This window comes from Homo sapiens, chromosome 11 (assembly GCF_000001405.40).
Source record: "Homo sapiens chromosome 11, GRCh38.p14 Primary Assembly".
NCBI lineage: Eukaryota > Metazoa > Chordata > Mammalia > Primates > Hominidae > Homo > Homo sapiens.
In genome coordinates this window covers 87,116,574-87,142,669 of record NC_000011.10, presented here as the reverse complement: position 1 = coordinate 87,142,669, position 26,096 = coordinate 87,116,574, and the positions used below count along the sequence as shown (strand labels likewise).

Below are 26,096 nucleotides of genomic sequence, written 5' to 3'. Positions count from 1 at the left end.
GAACTCCAAAAAGGAAAAACACAAAGCAATTCGCACATGGACACATCATACTCAAATTTCTGAAAACCAAAGATAGAGAAAAAAATCTTAAAAGCAAACACTTTATACTTAGGGAGAGAAAACACAATTAATGGCAGACTTCTCGACACAAATAGTAGATGCCGGATTGTCAATCCAGAATTCTACATCCAAAAATAACTATTTTTGAAAAATGCAAATGAAATAATAATTGAGATAGGGGAAAACCAAAAGAATCTTTTGCACACAAATCAGCCTTTTCCAGTAGCACTTACAGCACAGCTACATGAGGCTGCTTCCACAGTACTCTATCCATGCCCTCAAGCGAGGCTCTCCTAAACTAGTTGCTGCTTCTGAGAACTTCCTGAAGATGATTTCCACAGTAGCTTCAGCTGCACCCCTAGGCAACTCCCTACCAACACTACCAAGACAGCAGGCATTTTCTACAGACCTGCTCGAGCTCATCCATGCTCTGGCAAGAGTGGACTCTTCTACAGACCACCTGTGGCCCATGCCCTCTAGCAAGTTTCTACACTACCAGCAAATAATGAGTTACAAACTCTCTTTAAAGAGATCTAAAGCAAAGCCTGAGGGGGTTTGGGGAGGAGGACCCTCTCTCAAGTCCTTGGGTTCCTTCATTTGCTAACCTCCCCTAGCTTTTACCTGCTACTGCTAGATCCCTCAGATTCCTCTTGTACCCCTTTTAGTAATTAAGACACCATTCAATAGCTAATCTTTCTTTATATGAAAACATAAAAGACTGCTGCTGTATAAGGTAAGAACTGTGAGTTTTTGCCTTCCTTGTTAAATTTTAAATTTTTTTAATTTTAAATGTTTACTTTTTTAAAATATTAAATTTTTAAAATTTTTCCTATTCTAATAACTAATAGAGTTTCTGTCTGCAGGGTAGACACTGCTATGGAATGAAACTTCCTTGATTTGACAAGTGACAACTATCATCAGACTTATAAGTGAACAACTTTCTACCTAAAATGAGAAATAAGGTCAGGATGGCCACTCTCACCACTTCTATTTGCTATTTTTCCGGATGCTCTAACCCAGTGAAATAAAACACAGAAAAGATATTATAAAAATAAACACTGGGAAAGAAGCAATAAAACTTTACAAATGCACACAGGACATGACTGTGCAGGTAGAAAAATCCTAAGAAATGTATAAGAAAGTGATCTAGTCATAAGTTTAGCAAACTCATTAAAAACAATGTACGTATTCAATACACAATTGTTTTCTGTATCCTACCAAAAACCAACTAGAAAATGAAATTTTAGAAAACATTTCCATTCCATTAGAATACAAATATATTAAACATTTAGGAATAAAGCTTAACAAAGGAAGTAAACGACCTAAACACTAAAAAGTGAAAAATAATGCTGCAAGAAATTAAAAACCTAAGAAAGTGCAGAAATATGCTATGTACATAAACAGAGATTTAATATTATCAAATCTCCTCAAATTGTTCATAAAGTCAAAGCAATCTCAATCAAAACCTAACAGGCATTTTTGCAGAAAATGACAATCTGAGTATAAAATTTATATTAAAAATGCAAAGGATACAAGATAGTCATAACAATGTTAAAAAAAAAAAAAGAACAAAGTTGGCAGACTTATTTCAAGACTTACTATAAAGATTCAAGTAATCAAGACAGTGTGGTAGTGGAATAAAGTTAGAATTCAAAAATAGACCCAACACTATATGTCCAATTGATTTTCTACAAAGATATCAATATAATTCAATGGAGAATCAATAGGTTCTTCAACTAACAGAGGTGAAACAACGGAATTTCCAAACGGAAATATATGAACCTCAACCCGTAACTCACTCCATAACAAAAACTAACTCAAAATAAATCACAGACTTAAATGTTAGAGCTCAAAACATAAAACTTCTGGAAGAAAAACACTGGAGAAAACATTTATGATCTTGATTTGAGCAAAGATATACTACATTGGGGATAAAAAAACAAATATTAAAGAAAAAATTTCATCACTGCAGATTATACCATCCAAAGATGCCCACACCAAAATATATATCCTATCCCACATGTGCTTCTTAAAATGTGACATTGACTGTCCCCCATACATATTCCCTCTCCTTGTACCAGGGACCTTTAAAACTACCTTTGTAACTATAACATAAATAGAAGGAGGCAGAACAACTAATACATTGATAAAATGTGCCTAATCAAAATTAAAAACCTTTTGCTCTTTGCAGTCAAATTGTTTGCCCATGATAGCCCATTACTTAATTTAAAAAATGAAAAAGCAGCTGGGCGTGGTGGCTCACACCTGTAATCCCAGCACTTTGGGAGGCCATGGCAGGCGGATCACGAGGTCAGGAGATCGAGACCATCCTGGCTAACAGGGTGAAACCCCATCTCTACTAAAAATACAAAAAATTAGCCGGGCGTGGTGGCATGCACCTGTAGTCCCAGCTACTTCAGAGGCTGAGGCGGGAGAATTGCTTGAACCTGGGAGGTAGAGGTTGCAATGAGCTGAGATCACACCATTGCACTGCAGCCTGGGCGACAGAGTGAGGCTCCATCTCAAACACAAAAAAAAAGAAAGAAAGAAAAAGTAAGCCACAAACTCTGAAAAAATATCTGCAAATATATATGTGGCAAAGCACTTAAATTCAAAATATATAAATAACTCTTACTAGTCAAAAATAAGCTACACAACCCAAAAAATTGAAATGATCAAAAGATTTCAACAGATACTTGAACAAAAAAATCTACATATATCATATACATACTATATATGAATATATGTGCATATGTATACACACACACAAATATTTATGAATAGCCAAAGCCAACAAAAAGATGTTCAATATTATTAGTCTGTAGGAAAATGCAAATTAAAACCAAAATAAGATACCACTCCACATGCACTAGAACAAGTAAAAAGAATGACAATACCAAGTGATAGTGAGAATATGGAGATACTGGAACTCTCATATATTGCTGGCGGGAAGGCAAAATGGTACAGTCAGTTTGGAAAACAATTTGTCAGTTTCCTGTAAATTTAAACATATACTTACCATGAGGCCCAGCAATTCTATCCCTAGGTATCTACCCAAGATAAATGAAAACATATATCCATTTATATGAGCTATAGAAAAGCCAAAATTTTAGTGACAGAGAGCAGACAAGTGACTGCTTGGGATCTAGGACATGGGAAGAGAAAACCGCAAAGGGGAAAGAGGGGCTTTTTAAGGAAGAGAGAAATATTCTATATCTTGATTGTGCTTATAGTCACATGACTATAAACATTTGCCAAAACTCATCAAACTGTAAACTTAAAATACATGAAGTTCATTAAATATAAATAAGGCTGTTTTCTCAAAATACTACCTGTCCCTCCTCCCCAGTCCCACCCAAAAGTAGCTCTCAATTCAGTGGTAATTCAACTCCCCCTTATCATTGGGAAAAATCTGGGTACTACATTAATGAAAAATTTTTTAGGAAGGACACAGATGCTTTAGAAAGAAATTCATATGCTTTAGAGATAGATTTTATCTTAAATTCATATAAACTTCTTAAATTCATAGAAACTGGGAGCAGAGGTGGAAGCTGCCGAAAGCAACAGAAATACTAAAGCCAGTAATAAATACTAGAGATGAATAATCCAGGAAAGATGAAACAGAGCCTGCATGTCATACTCGTAGGTACGCTGGGGATCCAAGATAAGTAAGTTATGAAAACCCTGCATTCCATACAAAATTCCACATGTCACCAATTAAGAACCACTGCTCTAGTATACACTTAACTTGATCATGAAGAAAAATATGTACTCTATATAAAAACCAGCAAGTTGGCAAACAAGCATTGCCAATCTCACCTTTACTTGCAGATGAGTGCTCTTGCACCTGTGTTCCCATCCACCATTTGTCCAAGCAAAAAGTTGTCAGACCTGAATCCTTCTTCTGCCACAATGTATCATACTATATAGTAACTAATTATTCATTTACAATTCTCACTAGAATATAGATTCTATTTCACTAATATACCTCTGCCACTTACACCTGATAAACACTCAAAAAATATTGAATAAATGCAAGATGTAAGAGCTAATGAGTAAGTCATTGTTTGGACTATGTCAAGTAAGTGCTTATTTACTGATTATATTGGGGTATGTGGTTTAGCAAAGTATGAACAAATATTTCCTTAACTACATTAAAGCAATTTCAAATGCTGAAAAAATAATTCATTAGCTTTTCATATTAATGAAATCAATTTGGAGCTGGGCGCAGTGGCTCAAACCTGTAATCCCAGCGCTTTGGGAGGCCAAGGCGGGCGGATCACCTGAGGTCACGAGCTTGAGACCAGCCTGGCCAACATGGTGAAACCCCATCTCTATTAAAAATACAAAAATTAGCCGGGTGTGGTGGCGGGCACCTGTAATCCCAGCTACTTGGAAGGCTGAGGCAGGAGAATCACTTGAACCCAGGAGGCGGGGGTTGCAGTGGGCTGAGATCATACCACTGCACTCCAGCCTGGGTGACAGAGCGAGACTCAGTCTAAAAGGAAAAAAAAAAAAAAAGAAATCAACTTGGTCTTTTTAAACATCATAAATGTCTAACCTGTTTTCATTCAGTACACAGGAAATATGCATTACATATGGAGACAATGGACCTTAACAGCGGTTTTAAGAAGTAACAGTATGTTACTTCTGTTTAGAGATGTGGGCTGGTAAGTAATTCAGGAATTTAAATGATAAGCAGATGGTTTGTTTCCAAATTGAGAGCAGTCATCTGGCTCTAAAGAAGAGTGTACTTTTGTAAATATATGTTCTGTCATGTTTTACCCAATGTGACATGACGTAACAACATACTATGTTATGTCTTGCTTTGCTTCTTTTAACATAATGAAAATTAACAAAAGAAAAGCATGAGGTTTTTTCCCCCATCATGCTATCTTCTTACACTTACGTCAAAGCAAACAAAATAATAAAAAAAAAATGCTGAGATTTAGAGTTATACTTCAACTATGTTTCAAAACAAGATAGTGTCCCTCTTCCTATCAGAGCTGAACTTTCTCAACCATTAAATGGGGATAATACCAAATATTATAATAATTGAGAGTCTGTTTAATTTCAAATTTGAGAGTGAGGAATAAAGAATTATATCTAAATTTGACATTTCATTTAATTATCATAAATTTTTTTAAGTAGGCAAACTTAGCATATGTGATAAATAATTGTTGGATGAGTATACAACATTCGTCTTCCTTCCTCCAATTCCTTCCTCTCTTCTCACAAAAAGCTGATTTCATTTAGATAATTCATCTTCTTTTACAAAGACATTCACTTAACTCAGTCAATAATAGTATTCCCATTCCTCATGTCAGTGATTTTTTTTTTTTTAGATATAGGCATAGAGTGCCAGAGATGAAAAAGGTTGTTACATAACAATAAAAGGGACAAATTATCAGAAGGACATAACAAACTTAAATGTTTTTGCATCTAAAAACAGAGCTTTAAAATACATGAATCAAAAACTGATACAACTTCACAATAAAATATCACAAATCCGTAACTATAGTCACAGATTTCCACACCCTTCTCTAATAACTGACAGAAAAAGTAGAGAGAAAATCAGTAAAGATGTGAGCCTGGTAAAAAATACTATTAATCAACTTGATCTAATTGATGTTTATAGAGCATTGCACTAAACAAATGCAGAATACTCTTTTCAGATCCACACAAGGCATTTCCTAAAACAGACTATAATCTGGAAAAGAAGAAAGAAGGCACAAATTACCATTATCAGGAATGAGGTGACACAAACTACAAACTCTTCAGAAATTAAAGGGATAATGAGGAAATATTATGTACAATTTTGTTTCTATTAATTGACAACTTAAATGTAATGGAAAATGGACAAATTGCTTGGAAGACACAAACTACCACAGCTCTCACAAGAAGAAATACTTAGCCTAAATAGCACTAATGTCTTCAAAAAAAAAAAAGTTGAAATAGTAGTAAAATATCTTGCCAAAGAAAAAAAGACCAGATTGCTTCACTCATAAATTCTACCAAACATTTAAGGAAGAAATAATCCCATTTCTCAAAACTCACCTAGGAATTTGAAAAGAAAGAAATTCTACTTAAGTCATTCTTATGAGGGCAGTGTTGTCTAGGCAGCAAAACTAAATGCAGACATTAACAAGAAAACTACACACCAATATCCCCCACGGGCATAGTTATAAATGTTCTTAAGAAAATCTGAGCACACTGAATCCAACAATATATAAGAAGAATAATACACTGAATGGGATTTATTCTAGGATACAAGGCCAAACATCAAGCAATGTAATTCACTATATTAAGCTAAAAAAGAAAAAGCACATGTTCATCTCTATAGATACAGAAAAAGCATCTGACATAATCAAACTTCCATTCCAAAAATTTTTTTAACTCTCATAAGGCATACAGATTTAAAAAGAAGTAAAATTTTCTCTTTTTCTTAGATGACATGTTCATCTATATAGAGGATACTATGAAACATATCAAAAAGAAGCTACTAGAACTAAAAATTGACTTTAGCAAAGTTGCAGGATATAAGATCAATATACAAAATAAATAGCAATGAATAACTGAAAATTCAAGCTAATAAAACAACACTATTGACAATAGCATTAAAAAATATTAAATACTTGTGGTTAAGTTTAACAAAAATATACAAGACCTGTACACTGAAAAGTAAAAACACTGCTGAGAAAAATTAAAGAAAACATAAATAAATACAGAACTATTCAATTTTCATTGGTCAAAATACTCAATATTGTCAAGAAATTAATTCTGCCAAAATTGATCTAGAGATTAAATATAATTCTAATAGATATCTCAAAGGCTTTTTATACAAAAATTGAAGAGCTGTTCTAAAATTTACATGGAAATGCAAAGGACCTACAACAGTCAAAAACAATACTTAAAGAGAATATAATTGGAAGACTAATACTACATGACTGCTACAGTTATCATATACCTACAGTTATCAAGACCGCATGGTTTGGGTTTAAACATAGACTAATAGATCAGTGAAAGAGATGAGAGTCCAGAAAGAGACCCACATATATGTGTAAAACTGATTTTTCAACAATAGTGCAAACGTAATTCCGTTAAAAAAAAAAAAAAGATGAACTCTTCAATAAATGGTGCTAGAACATTTGTTTAACTATATGCAAAAATAATGACATTAAATGAACTGTGATCGATACTTTACACAAAACATAAAAGTTAGGGCAAACTGTATCATAGAGTTAAACGTAAAATCTAGAACTATGAAGTAAGAAAATATAGCAGAAACTCTTATGACCTTAGATTAGGCAAAATTTTCTTAGATACACATCAAGTGAATCAATAAAGAAAAAAATTCACAAATTAGATTAAATCCAAATTTTAAACTTCTCTTTAAAAGACATTGTTTAGAGAATGAAAAAAGAAGCCACAGTATGGAAAAAAATTTTTTACAAAATATAGATCCAATCAAGGACATGTATCCAGAATATATAAAGAGCTCTCAAAGCCCCATAATAAGAAAAACAATCCAATTTTAAAATATGCAATAGTTTTGAAAAGACAGTTCACTGAGAACAGCCTATGATACTTAATAATCACATAAAATTTAATTTTTTATTTATCATCATTAGTCATCAGGGAAATTCAAATTAAAGCTATGACTATATACCTATTAGAATGGCTAAATTTTAAAAGACTGGCCTTTCCAAGTGTTAGCATAGATGTAGGGCAACTAGAACTCTCACACAATGCCAGCATGAATGTAAAATGGTATGATCACTTTGGAAAACAGCCTAGACACTTCTTAAAATACTAAAGCTATACAGCTGGGTGCAGTTGCACACGCCTGTAGTCCCAGCTACTCAAAAGGACAAAGTGGGAGGGTCACTTGAGTCCAGGAGTTCAAGCCCAGACTGGGCAACATAGTGAGAACCCCACCTCTACAAAAATAAATAAATAAATAAGCCAGGCCTGGTGGCACATGCCTACAGTCCCAGCTACTCAGGAGTCTGAGGTGAAAGGATCATCTGAGCCCAGGAGTTTGCATTGCAGTGAGATGTGATAATGCTATTGCACTCCAGCCTGGATGATAGAGCAAGACCCTGTCTCTAAAAACAAAACTAAACGAAATTTGAAAATACTAGACATGTGCTCTCCATATAACCTCCACTGTGAGCTTTATTGTGCACCCCAACCCACCAAAAAATATATATGTTACAGTCCTAACCCCCAATATCTCAGAATGTAACTGTATTTGGAGATATGATCTTTAAGGAGGTAATTAAGTTAAAACGAGCTCCTTTAGGGTGGGTTCAAATCCAATATGACTGGCATCCTTACAGGAAGAAAATATTTAGACACAGGCACACGGACAGAAAAGCCATATGAAGGCACAGGGAGAAAACAGCCATCTACAAGCTAAGGAAAGAGGCCTCAGAAAAAACCAACCTTGCCAACGCCTTGATCCCAGACTTCTAGATCTAGAACTGTTAGAAAATAAATCTCTGCTGTTTAAGCCACACAGTCTGTGTTACTTGTTATGGCAGCCCTAGAAAACTAATATAACCAGCACCCCTAGGGAAAAAAAAAAATGAAAGCATATGCCCATACAATGACTTGTATGTGAATTCTGTAGCAGCTTTACTCATAATCATCAAATCCTAGAAACAACCCAAATAACAAATAGAAAAAGGAATCATGATAGAACCAAACAACAGAATGCTTATCGGCAATAAAAATGAACCATTGTTACACAAAATAAAATATATGAATCTCAAAATAATTATGCTGAAAGAGGCCAGATAAAAAAAGAGAGTATGTACTGTATGATTCCATTTATATAAAACTCCAGAAAATGCAAACTAATCCATGGTGACAGCAGATCAGTGGTTGTTTGGGAAAGTGGGAGGGAGAAGCTGAAAGGAGAGGTTACCAAAGGAAATAAATTTGTAGAGTAATGGGTATGTTCACTACCTTGAGTGTGGTAACAGTTTCACTGATATATATGTATGTCAAAATGTATCAATATACTTTAAATATGTATAGTTTTTATACTTCATTATACCTCAATAAACTGGTTTTGTAAAGAGGGATCAAGAGTAAGTAACTTCAGAAAAAGTTGACATGGTCTATGATTCCATTTATATAAAATTCTAGAAAATATAAACAAATCTACAGTAATAGAAGGCATCCATGAGGTATGTGAGTGGTGGGGAGGACTTACCAAGGAGCATGAAGAAATTTTGGGGATGATGTTTTAGGTTCATTATCTTAGTATGTGGTGATGGTTACGTGGGTGTATAAACATGTCAAAACGTATTGAATTGTATTTGTAAATACAGTAGTCTAGTCTTTTCCTCAGTCTCACTTTCTGCAGTTTCAGTTATCCATGATCAACTGCAGTCCAAAAATATTCAATGGAATATTCCAGAAATAAATAATTCATCAGTTTTAAACTGTTTGCCATTATGAGTAGTTTGATAACATCTTAAGCTGTCCTGCCCCCTCTCACCTCAGGATGTGAATTGTCCCTGTCCAGGTATCCACGCTATAGATGCTATGTACCAGTTAGCACTTAGCCCTTTCAGTTACCACATCGACTGTCCTGGTATCATGGTGCATGTATTTGAGTAACTCTTACGTTACTTAATAATGGCCCCAAAGTGCACAAATAGTGGTGCTGGCATATTGTTATAACGGCTTTGTTTTATTATTGTTACTAATCCCTTATTGTGAAAAATGTGTAAGATAAACTTTATCATAGGTTTGTACGTATAGAGAAAAAAACATACCATAGGTATGTATGTATAGGGTTTGGTACAATCTGCAAATTCCAGCATCCACTAGGGGTCTTGGGATGTATCCCTTGTGGATAGACAGGGACTACTGCAAGCCTATTTTATTAAATATTAAATAAACTTCAATAAAGTTGTTGTTAAACACTAATAATTGTAGTTAGCATTACAAAGATCTAAACAGACAAATGTCATATATTGAGAGGTTTATCTCTGATTATACCCTTCATTAAGCATATTAAAAGAGTCAAGACTACCTCAAAATCAAAGTTTAATTTTGTTAGTGTTATACTACAATGAATCCAATATCATGTACATTATAATCAATAGTGACAATAGTAAAGCCACTTATATATATACTACTAATTAACTCTTAAATCATAAGGACTTTCCATTAATTCTTGCACATAAGCCAGGCTAGCCTATATAAGCCTATGCAAAACTCTAATAACAATAATAATTTTTAAAAACATTAATTAACTTTTCTATGTGCCAATCACTGCCTTAGGTACTGTATGTGTTATCTCAAGTAATGCTCACAATACCCTATGACAGCAGGCACCAGGGACTGGTTTCATGGAAGATAATTTTTCCATGAACCAGCAGTGGGTGGTGGCGGGGAGGGGGTGCAGATAGTTTTAGGATGATTCAAGCACATTACATTTACTGTTCACTTTATTTATCTTATTACATTGTAATATATGATGAAATAAATAATTATACACTCACCACAATGTAGAATCAGTGGAAGCCCTGAGCCTTTTTTCCTGTAACTAGATGGTCCCATCTAGGGGTGACAGGAGACAGTGCCAGATCATCAGGCATTAGATTCTCATAAGGAGTGAGCAACCAGATCCTTCACATGTGCAATTCATAAAAGAGTTCGCTCCTATGAGAACCTAACGCTGTCACTGATCTGACAGGAGGCAGAGCTCAGGCGGCAATGCAAGCGATGGGGAGAGGTTGTAAATACAGACAAAGCTTCTCTCATTAGCCTGCCATTCACCTCCTGTTGTATGGCCCAGTTCCTAACAGGCCACGGACCAGTATTGCTGGGGACCCCTCCCCTATGAGGTATGTTCTATTTTAATTTTATTTTATAGGTAAGGAAATTCAGGCATAGAAAAGTCACTTTCCCAGGGACACACTGTATGTGGCAAACTCAGGATCACAAATCAGGTATTCTATGTCCAAAGCCCAAGTAAGTTTATAATAATCACTATGCAGTATATCCTCTCATGAAGATTAAATTATATTCATGGTAGTCTTAGGCAATAAATTATTCATTTATTCATCACTGAGGAGTTGAATGTTAACTGTGGGCCAGGCACATAGCATTGCAGATATAATAGTATACATAACACATTCCCTATCCCCAGCAGACCACACTCTAGTGAGGGATACACCAACAAACAATTCTCCCATTCTGAAAAAGGCAAAACCATAGAGACAGTAAAAAGTGGCTGCAAGGGATTTTCAGGGCAGTGAAACTATTCTGTATGATACCGTAATGGTGGATATATGACATTATGTATTTGTCCAAACCCATAGAACTACACAACACAAAGAATTATCCCTAATGTAAACTATAAGCTTCAATTAATAATAAGGCATCAATATTGGTTCATTAATTGTAACAAATGTAATGCATTAATGCAAGATTTTAAAAATAGGGGAAACAGAGTAATATGAGAACTCTCTGTACTTTCCACTCAAGGTTTCTATAAAGCAAAAACTGGTTTAAAAAAATAAAGCCTATCAGCACAATAGGAAGGGTATAAATAAATAAATAAATAAAGCCTAATTTGTTAAAGGATATATGTACAATCTAAAAAGAAAGAAGAAACCAGAAGGTCACATCCCAAGGTTAAAAAAAAAAAAGAAAACTGTAACTAAACACATAAATTAGAATTAGCACCTTTTATACAAACCAATTTATTTAATCAATATAAAAAATGGGTGAAATTAGATCACTCCAATAATTTGAATTTAACTCATTTTAAAACATCTAATGAGCCTGGTACAGTGTTTCACTCCTGTAAACCCAGCACTTTGGGAGGCCAAGATAGGAAGAGCGCTTGAGGCCAGGAGCTCAAGACCAGCCTGGGCAACTTATCAAGACCCAGTCTCCACAATTAAATAAAAAATTAGAAGAAATTAAAATTACAAAAGGTTTAACAGCTACTCATCCCATACTATAGTTCCAAGAGTCATTGATAATGATAGCGATACCCAGACACACAGTCTAATCTCTATAACCCATGAAAAAGACAGTAGGGAAAGAAGAGGGGATGGCAGGACACAAGGAGGAACTGTCAATATGAAAGGCCATTCTCTTTCCACATCAGGAATTAGTCATATGATTTCTAACATGATCTCAATAGAACATTACTTTCAAAGAGGTATGTCCTAACTTCCAGTTTGTTCATCCAGGCCCTCTTAGGAAAACAGTAGAAAGATGAAATTTTATGTCCTTCACTATCCTTACTATCATCATTATCATAGAATTTATTGATAAGCATGAAAGCAAAACACAAATGAAACAAGATCAGCAGAGTAGGGGATGGAAAAAGCCTGGGCCCTCGATATCACTGAATCCTGGAACTGGTACTCTCAAGACTCCTTGTAATTTACTTAAAAAAAAAAAAATGCTGGAACTGGTACCCTCAAGACTCCTTATAATTTTTTTTTTTTAAAAATGTACTTATACTGCAAGTCACCTGTAATTACGTATCCTGCTACTTGTATCCTAAGAAATCTAGAAGCCCACTGAAGAACTTGCCTCAATTTATTAAAATAAAATCATTATCTTGGAGTATACACTCTGCATTCCCATATTCTTTATTCTAGATGTCTGGAGAATTATGAAATCATTTCCTGAATTACTTACATTCTATTAATTTAGGGTACATTTTTTCCAAAGACAGAATGTAACCAGTTGTATAGTATTTATGACAAAAACATTAAGAAATAACAGCCGAGCGCAATGGCTCACGCCTGTAATCCCAGAACTTTCGGAGGCTAAGGAGGGCAGATCACCTGAGGTCAGGAGTTTGAGACCGGCATGGCTAACATGGCAAAACCACATCTCTACTAAAAATACAAAAATTAGCCAGGTGTGGGGGCACAGGCCTATAACTCCAGCTACTCAAGAAACTGAGGCACAAGAATTGCTTGAACCCGGGGGGCAGAGGTTGCAGTGAGCCCAGATTGCCCCACTCCACTCCAGCCTGGGTGACAGAGCAAGATTCCATTTCAAAAAAAAAAAAAATTGGCCAAGCATGGTGGATCACGCCTGTAATCCCAGCACTTTGGGAGGCCTAGGCAGACGGATTACCTGAGGTCAGGAGTTCGAGACCAGCCTGGCCAATATGGCGAAACCACATCTCTACTAAAAACACAAAAATTAGCCAGTCATGGTGGTGTGCGACTGTAGTCCCAGCTATTAGGGAGGCTGAGACAGGAGAACTGCTTGAACCTGGGAGGCAGAGGTTGCAGTGAGCTGAGATCGTGCCACTGCACTCCAGCCTGGGCAACAGAACAAGACTCCGTCTCAAAAAAAAAAAAAAAAAAAAAAAAAAAAAAAAAAAAAAAAAAAAAAATTAAGGAATAAGGAACATGTATAGAAAAAAGCAAATTCTGCTAATAATACCAACCTTGCTGCTCCTTTCAACTACAAACCTATGCTAAGTTTTTTTTACGAGCAAAGTAGAGGTTTTAAATTTTAAAATCAGATAGTTAGAAGACACAAAAGCTCCACATATTTAGAGTTAAGCTATAACTCTAGGTTAAAAAAAAAACAAAAAAAAAAACCTTAAACCTGCTTAATTTCCAAATAGGGAACAGCAAGGGCATTTGGAAGAAATAATTCATTGGAGTTTCTTAGAATCAACTTAAGCTTATATACTGTATAGTATTCCATTGCATAAATATAGAATTTACTTATTCATTCAACTACTAAGGGACCCTCGAGTTGAATTGAGTTTTCATAATTACAAACATGCTGCTCTAAATATTCTTGCTGGTTTCTCCTATTTTCTACATACAGTTAGAAATTTTTCTAGAATATACTTAAAGAATGGGTTGATGTGTACATGTTTGGTTTTATTTAAAAGTAACAAACCGTTTTCCAAAGTGTTTGCAAATTGACACTCCTACCAGCAATAGATAAGAGTTCATTTCCTACTAGTATTTTTCTTAGAGTTAACAAAACAGTTCATCAAGTATCCTGAAGGTATCTAAACATACATCAAAGCATAATTATTTGTTCAACAAATATTTACTGACTACCTGCTTAATGGTACCATACATATAGCAGTAACTCAGTAATCAAAAGCATTTCCTGAAACTTCTCTTAGTAGGAAGAGAATCAACACTTAGTCTTGTAGAGATTCTCTTATTACAAGTATCAGAAATCTGCAAGAAAAAAAAGAACACGCAGAAGGTTGAAACAGCTAGAGCAAAGATCTGGAGTCAAAGGAATACAAAGCAGTAAGAGATTTGAAGCAAATACGTAAACATGTATACGCAAATGCATACAATCATACATGCTAACATACATGCATATACAGGCACAATTAAGACTAGGAAAAAGGGGGTCATCAAGGTATAGAAGGGCTGTAGTTTTGTTTTCCAGCTCTAAAATCCTTAACAGAAAATTAAGGTTAGAAACCAAGTGTTTTACTAGACCATACCACTATTATCTATAGCAATGTCTCTATTATCCGTGTAACCACTTCAGAGAATAACTAGAGTTGGACCAAAAAAAGCCAAAGTAAGATTCTAGATCAAGCATGATGAGATAGAACACTTATTTGCCTATTTGAATTTAAGAGATGTTCAAAGTTCCTCCCACCTCCAAAGCAGATATTTCTTCTCACAGAGCCTGAAACCACATGTACATTATTGTATTCTGCTGGACATTCAGCATTTTTTTTCATTCAATAACAAATATTTACATTAAGTTACAAATATCAATGGACACAAGAAACTTAAAAAGATAAGCAACTGAAAAAAATAATAAAAACAAAACTAGGAACAGACATGCTGAAAAAGGTGCCAAAGCACCAAACAAAAAATGTGCCTACTTCACCACTTAATCAACACCTAGCCCTAACACTGGTAGGTAGGAAGAAACAAACTTGCTGTTGTCTTTAACTGGCCTCTTACAGAAACTTAGTCTACTGAAGACTAACATCCTAAATTGGCATATAGTTTTGTTTGAATTTATATAATTTAATAGATTTCCAGTATACTATACCAAATTATACTCACTTCTAACTACATCAGAGTATCATACAAGTTCAATTCCACACATAACTTAGAATGGGAGAAAGAACCTGGGATCAAAACAGAGAAGCTCACAAAAAGAAAAAGTGACGTTCCAGATACTAAAACGCCAGTGCCACAAAACCTGGAGGCCATGAATCTTGATTAGCCCACAGAAAGGCCTGCCATGGAGACTGTGTGGCTGGCACCCATGGAGCAATAATTTGGAATGAATGGAGCCCTTAGTATTTTGTATTAATTGAAGTAAGACGTTTAGGAATCTGACACTTCAACTTAGATTAGTTCACACTAATTGAACACAATGCTAAACATTATCCTCAGACACCAAAGTGAAATGTTTAACAACCTATAAACAGGGCCTCGGTATTGAATTCTTTGTCTTATTTAAGTCAAAAGGAACCAGATTACTTTTTTTATGGTTTTAACAAAGTAAACAGGAGCTGGAAAATATCCAAAACTGTTCAAATCAATGTTGTTTTTTACCAGGCTAGGGCTGTTAATAAATATACCATAAATGAGCTCAGACTTTTTTATCTACACTTATATATGTATTCTTGAAAAGGATGTAACAGATTCCAATTCTTAATCATTCCCCCTAATTCCACAATTTCTCACCATTTCCTGTACTAGTTTACCCCTGCTTTTGACTTTTAATTCCATCATAAATTACTCTAATAAGAATTCAGAATCCAAACATAAATTTTATAAACACATACAGTACATACACCTACTTAGTAATTAAAACCAGCCTTCATTAAAGGTAATGCTTCCTTCTAGTATTTCTATAGCATTTGCTATACTTCATGGGGACTTTACTAACAATTTTTAACACAAAAAATGAAAACCATGTTTTTTTAAAACCATCACATTCTAACCATACAATGAGTCCTTTTCTCCTGCAAGTATGTACATATAGTATATATATATATTTTAAAAAGCAAAGCAAAACAAAACCCTTAGCACTTTTAAATGTATACATTTTTAGCGAGAACTAAATTTCCTTCCAAAAAAAAGAACACAGTATACTAAATTTTTTGCTAGAAAGTTAATGTAATTGTTTCAATTATAGTCATTTTTAAACTTTTTTATTGAAAGGATGAATAATTATTAGTAAATGTTTAATGAAATTATAAAATATTTGATAAAAGTGAAGTAATTTTAATATAAATGTTTTTGACACTATTTTATACATATAAATATACATTTATGCACACAGGCATAATAGTATGAACTTCTAAAGAGACAGCCACAAAAATTAAGTTTTAAGAGCCTACTGATAAATATTATTATAATTATTTTTCAAAATGATCAATAAAGATTTATGTTGATTTTGTGAATTAAAATACAGGTATTGTAGGCCGGGCATAGTGGCTCAAGCCCATAACCCAACACTTTGGGAGGCCAAAGCGGGTGGACCACTTGAGGTCAGGAATTCAAGACCAGCCTGGCCATAAAGCAGATCCCAATACAATAAAATATTGTTCCTTGATATCACTGTTGAAAACAAACAAGAAGGGGTGAGTGAGAATGGCAGGGAAATAAAAGGTATATGTTCCAGGTAATGAGTACGAAATTTGCTTTGTTAAAACAGTAAAATCAGTATAAATTTTAGGAGTTAAACAGAATTTATCTTCATTTAAGTAAATTATCTGTAAAGATTGTTTAAATGAATTTTGTAAAACATTTGTATGTAAATTTTCTAGAGCTCTTATAATTTGATGCAGTAGTCTGAGAACTGACCCCCATCTTCTAAAACTGCTGTCCATCCCCTTTACAATTACTTCTTCCCAAATCAGCTGGAGTAACAGTTTTAAAAATGCAAATCCTATCACATCACTTTTTGCTTTTTAAAAGTCTCCAATGGTTTTCTATTACACTTAAAGTCCGAACTCTTTACCACAGCCTACAATATCCTAAATATAATCTGCTTTTGTCTATCTTTCCAACCTCATTTCATACCATTCTGTCCAGACATAACAGACTCCTTAGCTATAAATCAAATGAATCAAACTTGTTGTCATCTTGGGACCTGTTTACTTATTATTCATTACACTCTTGCATAAGATTTTCTCAAGATGTATTAACAGCTCCTTTACATCATTCGGAGTGTACTCAATGTCATCTCTCCAGAGAGGCCTTTCCAGACCAAAAGCACCTCTACTCCCCCACAACTACTCTTACCCTGCTTATTTTCTACCTAGCACTTCCACCTCTGACATTTACAATTTTAATTTATTTACTTATTGGATTATTGTCCCACTTTCCCTCTATTATGTAAGGTCTACAAAGACAGCGCATTGGCTATCTGTGCCCTGGCCTCAAACACAACACACATGTATGTGTTTCATACCTAATTTAGTTGCTTTGGCTTTATAAACAGAAATCAATTTGGTTAGCTTGAGATAAAAATAGGAATTAAAGGGAAGGACACTTTGATGGCTCAGAGAATTGAAAGAAGTTCTAACGAGTCAAGTCAAGTACAGAGCCTCATTCGTGCCCTGGCCTCAAAACAATACCAGACACAGAGCAATTACTCAGTATTTGTGAAGTAAGAGAAGTAGCAACTAAAGCAAGGAAACAAAATTAGTATTTACCCTAACAGCATTTTCTGTTTCAAGCATTAAAAGATAAATATGACTAAATAAAATCCCAGCTCTGGAAAAGCTTATCAGTGTAATGAGAGAAGAACAGAAGTAAGAGAGGAAGGCATAGAGGGGAAAAAGGAGGGAGGAAGGGATAAATGAAGGGAAGGAGGAGAAAGGAAGGAAAATTACTACTACAGAATAATGAACTAACAGCTATGGAAGAACAGAAGAGAATATAACCTAACATAGAGGAAAGATTTCCAAATTCAGATTTATCACTGTCATTGGTACATATCAGGATATATCAACACATACGTATTAAATGAAGATTATTCCACACGACCCTTTATGACACAGAGAAGCCTCATGAATGTCACTTGACTCAAAAAATGTCATTGAAAAAAAACTGAGTTATGCTTTAATTCAGGAAGAATGCTACACAGGTCACATTTGAGCCATGCCCCCTTCCCCTGCGGCCTCCCACCTGCTAAGGTAGTTTGATCCAGCACAAGATTATACCTAAATAAGCCAAACAGATTCTCCCTCTAAAGAATTAAAATTTGAGGTTAAAGGCAAGGTGGAAGGAGGGGAATGTTAGAGCTGAGTCACTTTAATGGCAGTGTCATATAAAAGGTCCTGCTGCTAAGTTCCCGTAGATGCCCTAGTTCCATTTTTTCCTGAGACTCGACTCTTTAGAACTTCTTTCAATTCTGAGCCATCAAACTGTCCTTCCCCTTAATTCCTATTTTTTTATCTTAAGCCAACCAAATTGGTTTCTGTTTATAAAGCCAAAGCAACTAAATTAGACGTGAAACATTGCTCATGTGAAATCATCCTAATGAAGGGCTAAAACAAGAGATTAAGGATTATAGACCTATTGCAAGGAGCAATGTTAAGTCATTACACACAGAGAAACTACAGTGATAGAGTAGAAAGAGAAAAACATTATCATCACTTAGTTTCAGGTGCAGATTCAAATCTTAGAGTCACTGTTTCTTAGCTATATTATGTAAGCTTGAGCAAGTAAATTTAATAATGTTTTCAGCTTGTTTCATGAGCTACTGATAATATGTGCTTTATAGGATTGTTTGAAGAATAAACAAGAGAAAAGATGTCAATAAACCCAGCAAAATGTCTGGAAGATGGTAGGGGCTCAATAAATGTTAATTCTCAACTTGTTTCCCAGTAAGAATAAGGCATCTATTGAGAGAATAAATAAAAAGGCAACTCTGGCTAGAGCAGGAATAAGCAAATAGAGCACATGGCTAAATCCACCCCACCACCTGTTTTGTATGGCCCACAAAATAACAATTATTTTTCTATTTTTTAATAGTGTAGTGGGTTGAATATTGTCCCCACAAATGATAAATTGTATGTTGGTTCTTGTGAAAGTGACCTTATTTGGAAATAGGGTCTTTGCAGATGTAATCAAGCTAATGTAAAGTCATACTGTATTAGAGGAAGCACCAAATCCAATGACAGGTGTCTTTATAAGAGAAAGAAGAGGGAATCCAAATACAAAATCACACAGACAGAGAGAGAAGAAGGCCATGTGATGACAGAGGTAAAGATTAGAATGATGCGGCTATAAACCAAGGAACACCAAGGATTCCCAGGATCTACCAGAAGCTCAAAGAGGCAAGGAAAGGATTCTTCCCTAGAAACTTCAGGAGCATAGCTCTGCCAACACCTTGCTTTCAGGTTTCTAGCCTCTGAACTGAGAGAGAATAAATTTCTGTTGCCGAAAGCCACCACGTTTGTGATAATTTGTTACAGCAGCCCTAGAAGACTAACATAAACAGTTTTAAGAGAACAAAAGAATGATATTTGTTGACATGTGAAAATAATATGATACCAAATTTCAGCATCCATAAATAAAGTTTTATTGGAACACAGACACATTCATTTGTTTACACATTGTCTATGTATGTTTTCATTCTACGCTGGCAAAGTTAAATAGTTGCCACAGGGGACCATATGACCCACAAAGCTGGCAAAATTTACTGTGAAGCTCTAAATAGAAAAAGTTACTCAACTTCTGGACTTCAGCATTAATGTTTAAGGGAGGAATTAATACCTGAGAGAGGGTTCAGGTGCAGTACTGAGTACTGATGAGTACTGCATAGTACTGATGAGATCTGACCAAGTAATAGCCGGATAGATTTAAAAACTAAATGATCTGGCCAGGCGCGGTGGCTCACGCCTGTAATCCCAGCACTTTGGGAGGCCAAGGCGGGTGGGTCACCTGAGGTCAGAAGTTTGAGATCAGCCTGGCCAACATGGCGAAACCCCGTCTCTACTAAAAATACAGACATTAGCTAGGCATGGTGGCAAGCACCTATAATCCCAGCTACTTGGGAGGCTGAGGCAGGAGAATCACTTGAACCTGGAAAGTGGTGGTTGCAGTGAGCCGAGATTATGACACTGCACTCCAGCCTGGGCAACAGAGCAAGACTCCATCTCAAAAAAAATAAATAATAAATAAATAAATAAATAAATAAATATAAAAACTAAATGATAAATGAACAAAAACTCTGGAGATTTTTATGATTTTATGATGACAAATTTAAAGTTTTAAAATATTTAAAGTTTTAAAATAAATCAGGATTTGACAAAAAAAAAAAAAAAAAAACCTAGCAAAACATAAACCTGCCAGTCAAGAATAGTCTGTTGTCTTTGCGAAATAACTTAGATGACAGCAGTCATTGTTATGGGGAAGCTGGATATAATGGAAGAATGTGGAATAAAACTATTAATTTGCTTTAATATGTATAATGTAGGCAGAAAATATCTAGCAGAGATCTCCTGAAAATAGTACAAAATGGAATTGAAAAAAATGATTTAAAATTCAGATGTAGATTGACACCCTCCAATCTTCTCTTCGCTGTTGATGTGCCAAGTCTAAGCAATTAAAATGTTTTACTAATTGAACACCATAAGAACCTAACTGGCCAAGTTATCAAATCTAGTCCTACTATGATCTACCCTTAAGATGACATTCAGGCCAGGCGCAGTGGCTTACGCCTATAATCCCAGCACATTGGGAGGCTTAGGCGAGCGCATCACCTGAGGTCAGGAGTTCGAGACCACCCTGGCCAACATGGTGAATCCCCGTCTCTACTAAAAATACAAAAATTAGTCAGGCTTGGTGGCGTGTACCTGTAGTCCCTGCTACTCAGGAGGCTGAGGCAGGAAATCACTTGAACCCAGGAGGTGGAGGTTGCAGTGAGCCAAGATTGCATCACTGCACTCCAGCCTTGGCAATAGGGTAAGACTCCATCTCAAAAAAAAAAAAAAAAAAAGTACATTCAAAATGATTGTCCTAAAGTAGAAAGTTTAATCTCCTGTGGAACTTCTGTAGCTAATTTTTTAAAAATTAATAAAATGTTATTTAAACTCCTGTGCTCTGTATATAATACCTTTCAAAATTGGACCAAATCCCTCCTTCCAGTCCCATCTCATACCACTCCTCAATATTCCAGAAGCTTCTCCTATATTTAACATTGTTACATACACCTGTAACACCCCATGCTTACTCTTTTGCAATACTCATCATAATTTTAATTATTTATTCTTCTACATTATACTGAATTTATGACAGGATTATGTCTGTCAGGTTCACTATGCTATCCACAGCACCCAAACTGGTACATAGGTGTACAATAAATATTAGTTGAATAAAGAATAAATAAATGAACAAAGAAAGGATGAATAAATATGCCCCATCAACTCAGGACTCCCTGTGCACACAACGCTCCCTCAGGTGAGAATTCTCTTTGCTTTGTTTACCTATCCAGAAAATTCTTGCTCATCCTTCAAGAATGCAGACTCCACAGAAAATCTTTCCCTACAATTTCTGGCAGTTGTTCTGCCCCTTCTTCCACTTTGCTGAAACAATATTTACCATATCATACAGTAATGTACATATTGAATGGTACCTACATCTCACTAAACCTTGAGCTTCTCAATTCATCATTGTTTCCCCAACACTTAATTCAATGTACAAAACATATGAAGAGTCAAAATTTGCTGGGTAAATGAATTAACATTATCTTGAAAATTTAATTCAAGATAACAAAGTTCTAGATCATGTATTTTCACTCTTAGAAATTAGCTTTCACAATACACTGAAGTGCTTTAAACGATTATAATTAATATTTTAGTTCAAACAAAATTTAGAAATTAATGAAATTCCCGTTTGTAATCCCAGCACTTTGGGAGGCCGAGGCAGGTGGATCATGAGGTCAGGAGATCGAGACCATCCTGGCCAACACGGTGAAGCCCTGTCTCTACCAAAAATACAAAAATTATCTGGGCACGGTGGCACATGCTTGTAGTCCCAACTACGAGGCTGAGGCAGGAGAATCGCTTGAACCAGGGAGGTGGAGGTTGCAGTGAGCCGAGATCATACCACTGCAATCCAGCCTGGGTGACAGAGCGAAACTCTGTCTCAAAAAAAAAAAAAAAAAGAAATTTCATCTCATGCTATATTTTATTATACAAGTAATATATCCCCATGATACGACTAAAAAGTAGTCCAGAACAGTGGTTCATGACTGTTAAATCCCAGAGTTTTGAGAGGCCAAAGTGAGAGAATCACTTAAGTCCAGGAGTTCAAGACCACCCTAGGCAACACAGTGAGATGCCATCTCTACAAAAATTAAAAATTAAAAAATTAGCTGGTCATAGTGGTGCATGCCTGTGGTCCCAGCTACTCAGGAGGATGGCTTGAGCCCAGGAGATCAAGGTTACAGTGAGCTGTGATTGCACCACTGCACCCCAGCCTGGATGACAAAGTGAGACTGTCTCAAAAAAAAAAAAAAAAGAAGAAGAAGAAAAAAACAGACTAATAAGTTCATTTATATAACATGAAACCCTTTTCCCACCAATGTTCCCCATTTCAAATATTAACTATAATTATTAATTCATTCAGCATTTTCAAATGAATATTTTCAGTCCTTTGTCATGCAAATGACTACATACATACAATGACTGCATATGCATATGCAGGCAATCTTATTTTATTGCACTTCACAGATACTGTTTTTTTTTTTTTAAAAAAGTAAAGGTTTGCAGCAACGCTGCATGGAGCAAGTCTATCCAAGATATTTTTCCAAGAGCATGTGCTCACTTTGTCTCTGAATCACATTTTGGTAATTCTCCTAACATTTCAAACTTTCTCATTATTAGTATATCTGTTATGTGATCAGTCATCTTTAATGTTTTTGTTTTGTTCTGTTTTTGAGACAGAGTCTTTCTATCACCCAGGCTGGAGTGCAGTGGCACGATCTCAGCTCACTGCAACCTCCACCTCCCAGGTTCAAGTGATTCATGCCTCAGATACTAGCGTAGCTGGGATTACAGGCGTGCATCACCAACACCAGCTAATTTTTGTACTTTTAGTAAAGACATCATTTCGCCATGTTGGCCAGGCTGGTGGCAAACTCCTGGCCTCAAGTGATCTGTCCTCCTTGGCCTCCCAAAGTGCTGCGATTACACGCATGAGCCATCGCGCCTGGCCTATTATCATTCATGTTACCATTGCAATTGCTTTGGGGTGCCACGAACTGCAAACCATATAAGACAGCAAACTTAATAGATAAATGTTGTGTGTGTTTTGACTGCTCCACCAACTGACTGTTCCCCCATCTCACTCACTCTCCTCAGGTCTCCCTATTCCCTGAGACACAACAATATTGAAATTAGGCCAATTAATAACCTTGCAATTCTAAGTGTTCAAGTGAAAAGAAGAGATGTATGTCTTTCACTTTAAATCAAAAACTAGAAATAATTAAGCTTAGTGAGGAAAGCATGTTGAAAGCCAAGATAGGCCAGAGCTAGGCTTCTTGTTCCAGTGAGCCAAGTTGTAAATGCAAAGGAAAGTTCTCAAAGGAAATTAAAAGTGCTATAACAGTGAATACACGAATGACAAGAAAGCAAAACAGCCTTATTGCTGACACAGAGAAAGTTTTAGTGGTCTGAATAGAAGATTAAACCAACCACAACATTCCCTTCACCAAAACCTAATCCAGAGCAAGGCCCTAACTCTCTTCAATTCTATGAAGGCTGAGAAAGGTGAGGAAATTGCAGAAGTGTGAAGCTAGCAGAGGTGGGTTCATGAGATTTAAGGGAAGAAGCTATCTCCATAACATAAAAATGCAAGGTGAAGCAGCAAGTGCTAACATAGAAGCTACAGGAAGGGCTGGGCACGGTGGCTCACGCCTGTAATCCCAGCACTTTGGGAGGTCACGATGGGCGGATCATGAGGTCAGGAGAGCAGCTTGGCCAACATAGTGAAACCCCATCTGTACTAAAAATACAAAAAATTAGCTGGGCATGGTGGCAGGCACCTGTTATCCCAGCTACTTGGGAGGCTAAGGCAGGAGGATCACTTGAACCCGGGAGGTGGAGGTTGCAGTGAGCTGAGATCGTGTCATTGCACTCCAGCCCGGGCAACAGTGTGACACACCGTCTCAAAAAAGAAAAAAAAAAAGCTACAGGAAGTTATCCAGAAGATCTAGCCAAGATTGTTGATGAAGGTGGCTATACTAAACAACAGATTTTAGACAAAGGAGCCTTACATTGGAAGAAGATGTCATCTATGACTTTCGCAGCTAGAGAAAAGAACTCAATGCCTGGCTTCAAACCTTTAGAGAACAGACTGACTTTCCATACAACTGGTGACTTTAAGTTTAAGCCAATGACCATTTACCATTCTGACAATACTAAGGCCCTTAAGAATTACCTAAATCTACTCTGCCCATGTTCCATAAATGAAACAACAAAGCACACGTGTTTATAGCATGGTTTACTGAATATTTTAAGCCCACTGCTGAGACCTGCTACTCAGAAAAAAAAAATTCCTTTCAAAATATTACTACTCATTGACAACACACCAGGTCACCCAAGAGGTTGGATGTACAAGATTAATGTTGTTCTCATGCCTGCTAATACAATATCCATTCTGCAGCCCATGGATCAAGGAGTAGTTTGAACTTGCAAATCTTATTACTTACAACTATTTCATAAAGCTATAGTTGCTTTATGAGTGATTGATGAGAGAATGATTCCTCTGATGGATTGGGGCAAAGCAAATTGTAAACCTTCTGGAAAGAACTCACCATTCTACATGCCATTAAGGACATTTGTGATTCATGGGAGGTGGTCTAAATATCAACATTAACAGGAGTTTGGAAGCCACTGATTCTCACCCTCATAGATGACGTAGAGGGGTTCAAGACCAGTGAAGGAAGTAAATGCAAATGTGGTTGAAAGAGCAACAGAACTAGAATTAGAAATGAAGCTGGAAGATGTGACTGAATGCCTCCAATCTCATGATAAATCTTGAACAGATCAGGAGTTCTGTTTTTTTCTTATGAATGAGCAAAAAAAGAGGTTTCTTGAAATGAAATTTACTCCTGGTGATTATGCTGTGGACATTATTGAAATGACAACAAAGAATTTAGAATATTACATAAACTTAATTGAGAAAGCAGCAGCAGTGCTTGAGAGAATTGACTCCAATTTTAAAAGAAATTGTACTGTGGATGAAATGCTATCAAACAGCACTGCATGCTTCAGAGAGATCTTTCATGAAAGAAAGAGTCAATCAATATGGCAAATTTCATTGTTGTCTTATATTAAAAAATTGGCACAGTCATGCCAACCTTCAGCAACTACCACCTTAACTAGCAATCATCAACACTGGGGCAAGGCCTTCCAAAGATTATGACTTCCTGATCATTCCTGATATCACTATCAACTTGTAGCTATAAGTTTTTTTTAATTAATGTGTGTACTTTGTTTTAAACATAATGCTTTGGCTGGGCGCGGTGGCTCACGCCTGTAATCTCAGCACTTTGGGAGGCCGAGGCAGGTGGATCATGAGGTCAGAAGTTAGAGACCAGCCTGACCAACATGGTGAAACCCCATCTCTACCATAAATACAAAAATTAGCCATGTGTGGTGGCACATGCCTGTAATCCCAGCTACTCAGGAGGCTGAGGCAGGAGAATCATTTGAACCCAAAAGGCGGAGGTTGCAGTGAGCCGAGATCACGCCACTGCACTCTATCCTGGGAGACAGAGTGAAATTTCATGTCAAAAAAAAAAACAAACCATAATGCTTTGCACATAAAACTACAATATAATGTAAACATGATTTTTATATGCACTGGAAAAGCAAAAAATAATTCATGTGAATCATTTTATTACAGTATTCACTTTATTGCAGTGGTCTAGATCCAAACCCATGATATCTTTGAGGTATGCCTATACTATATGTATGTGTGTGTCTGTGTGTGTGTGTGTGTATGTGTGTGTGTGTGTTTGTACATATATACTATAAATCTTAATAGATATTAATCAAT

General features: G+C 35.9%; 1 protein-coding gene across 5 annotated transcripts in view; it reads right to left on the bottom strand.

Annotated features, from left to right (window-relative positions):
* Window positions 1–26,096, bottom strand: part of TMEM135 (transmembrane protein 135) — a 290,891-nt gene that overhangs the window by 186,155 nt on the left and 78,640 nt on the right. The gene's annotated exons all lie outside the window — the stretch shown is intronic.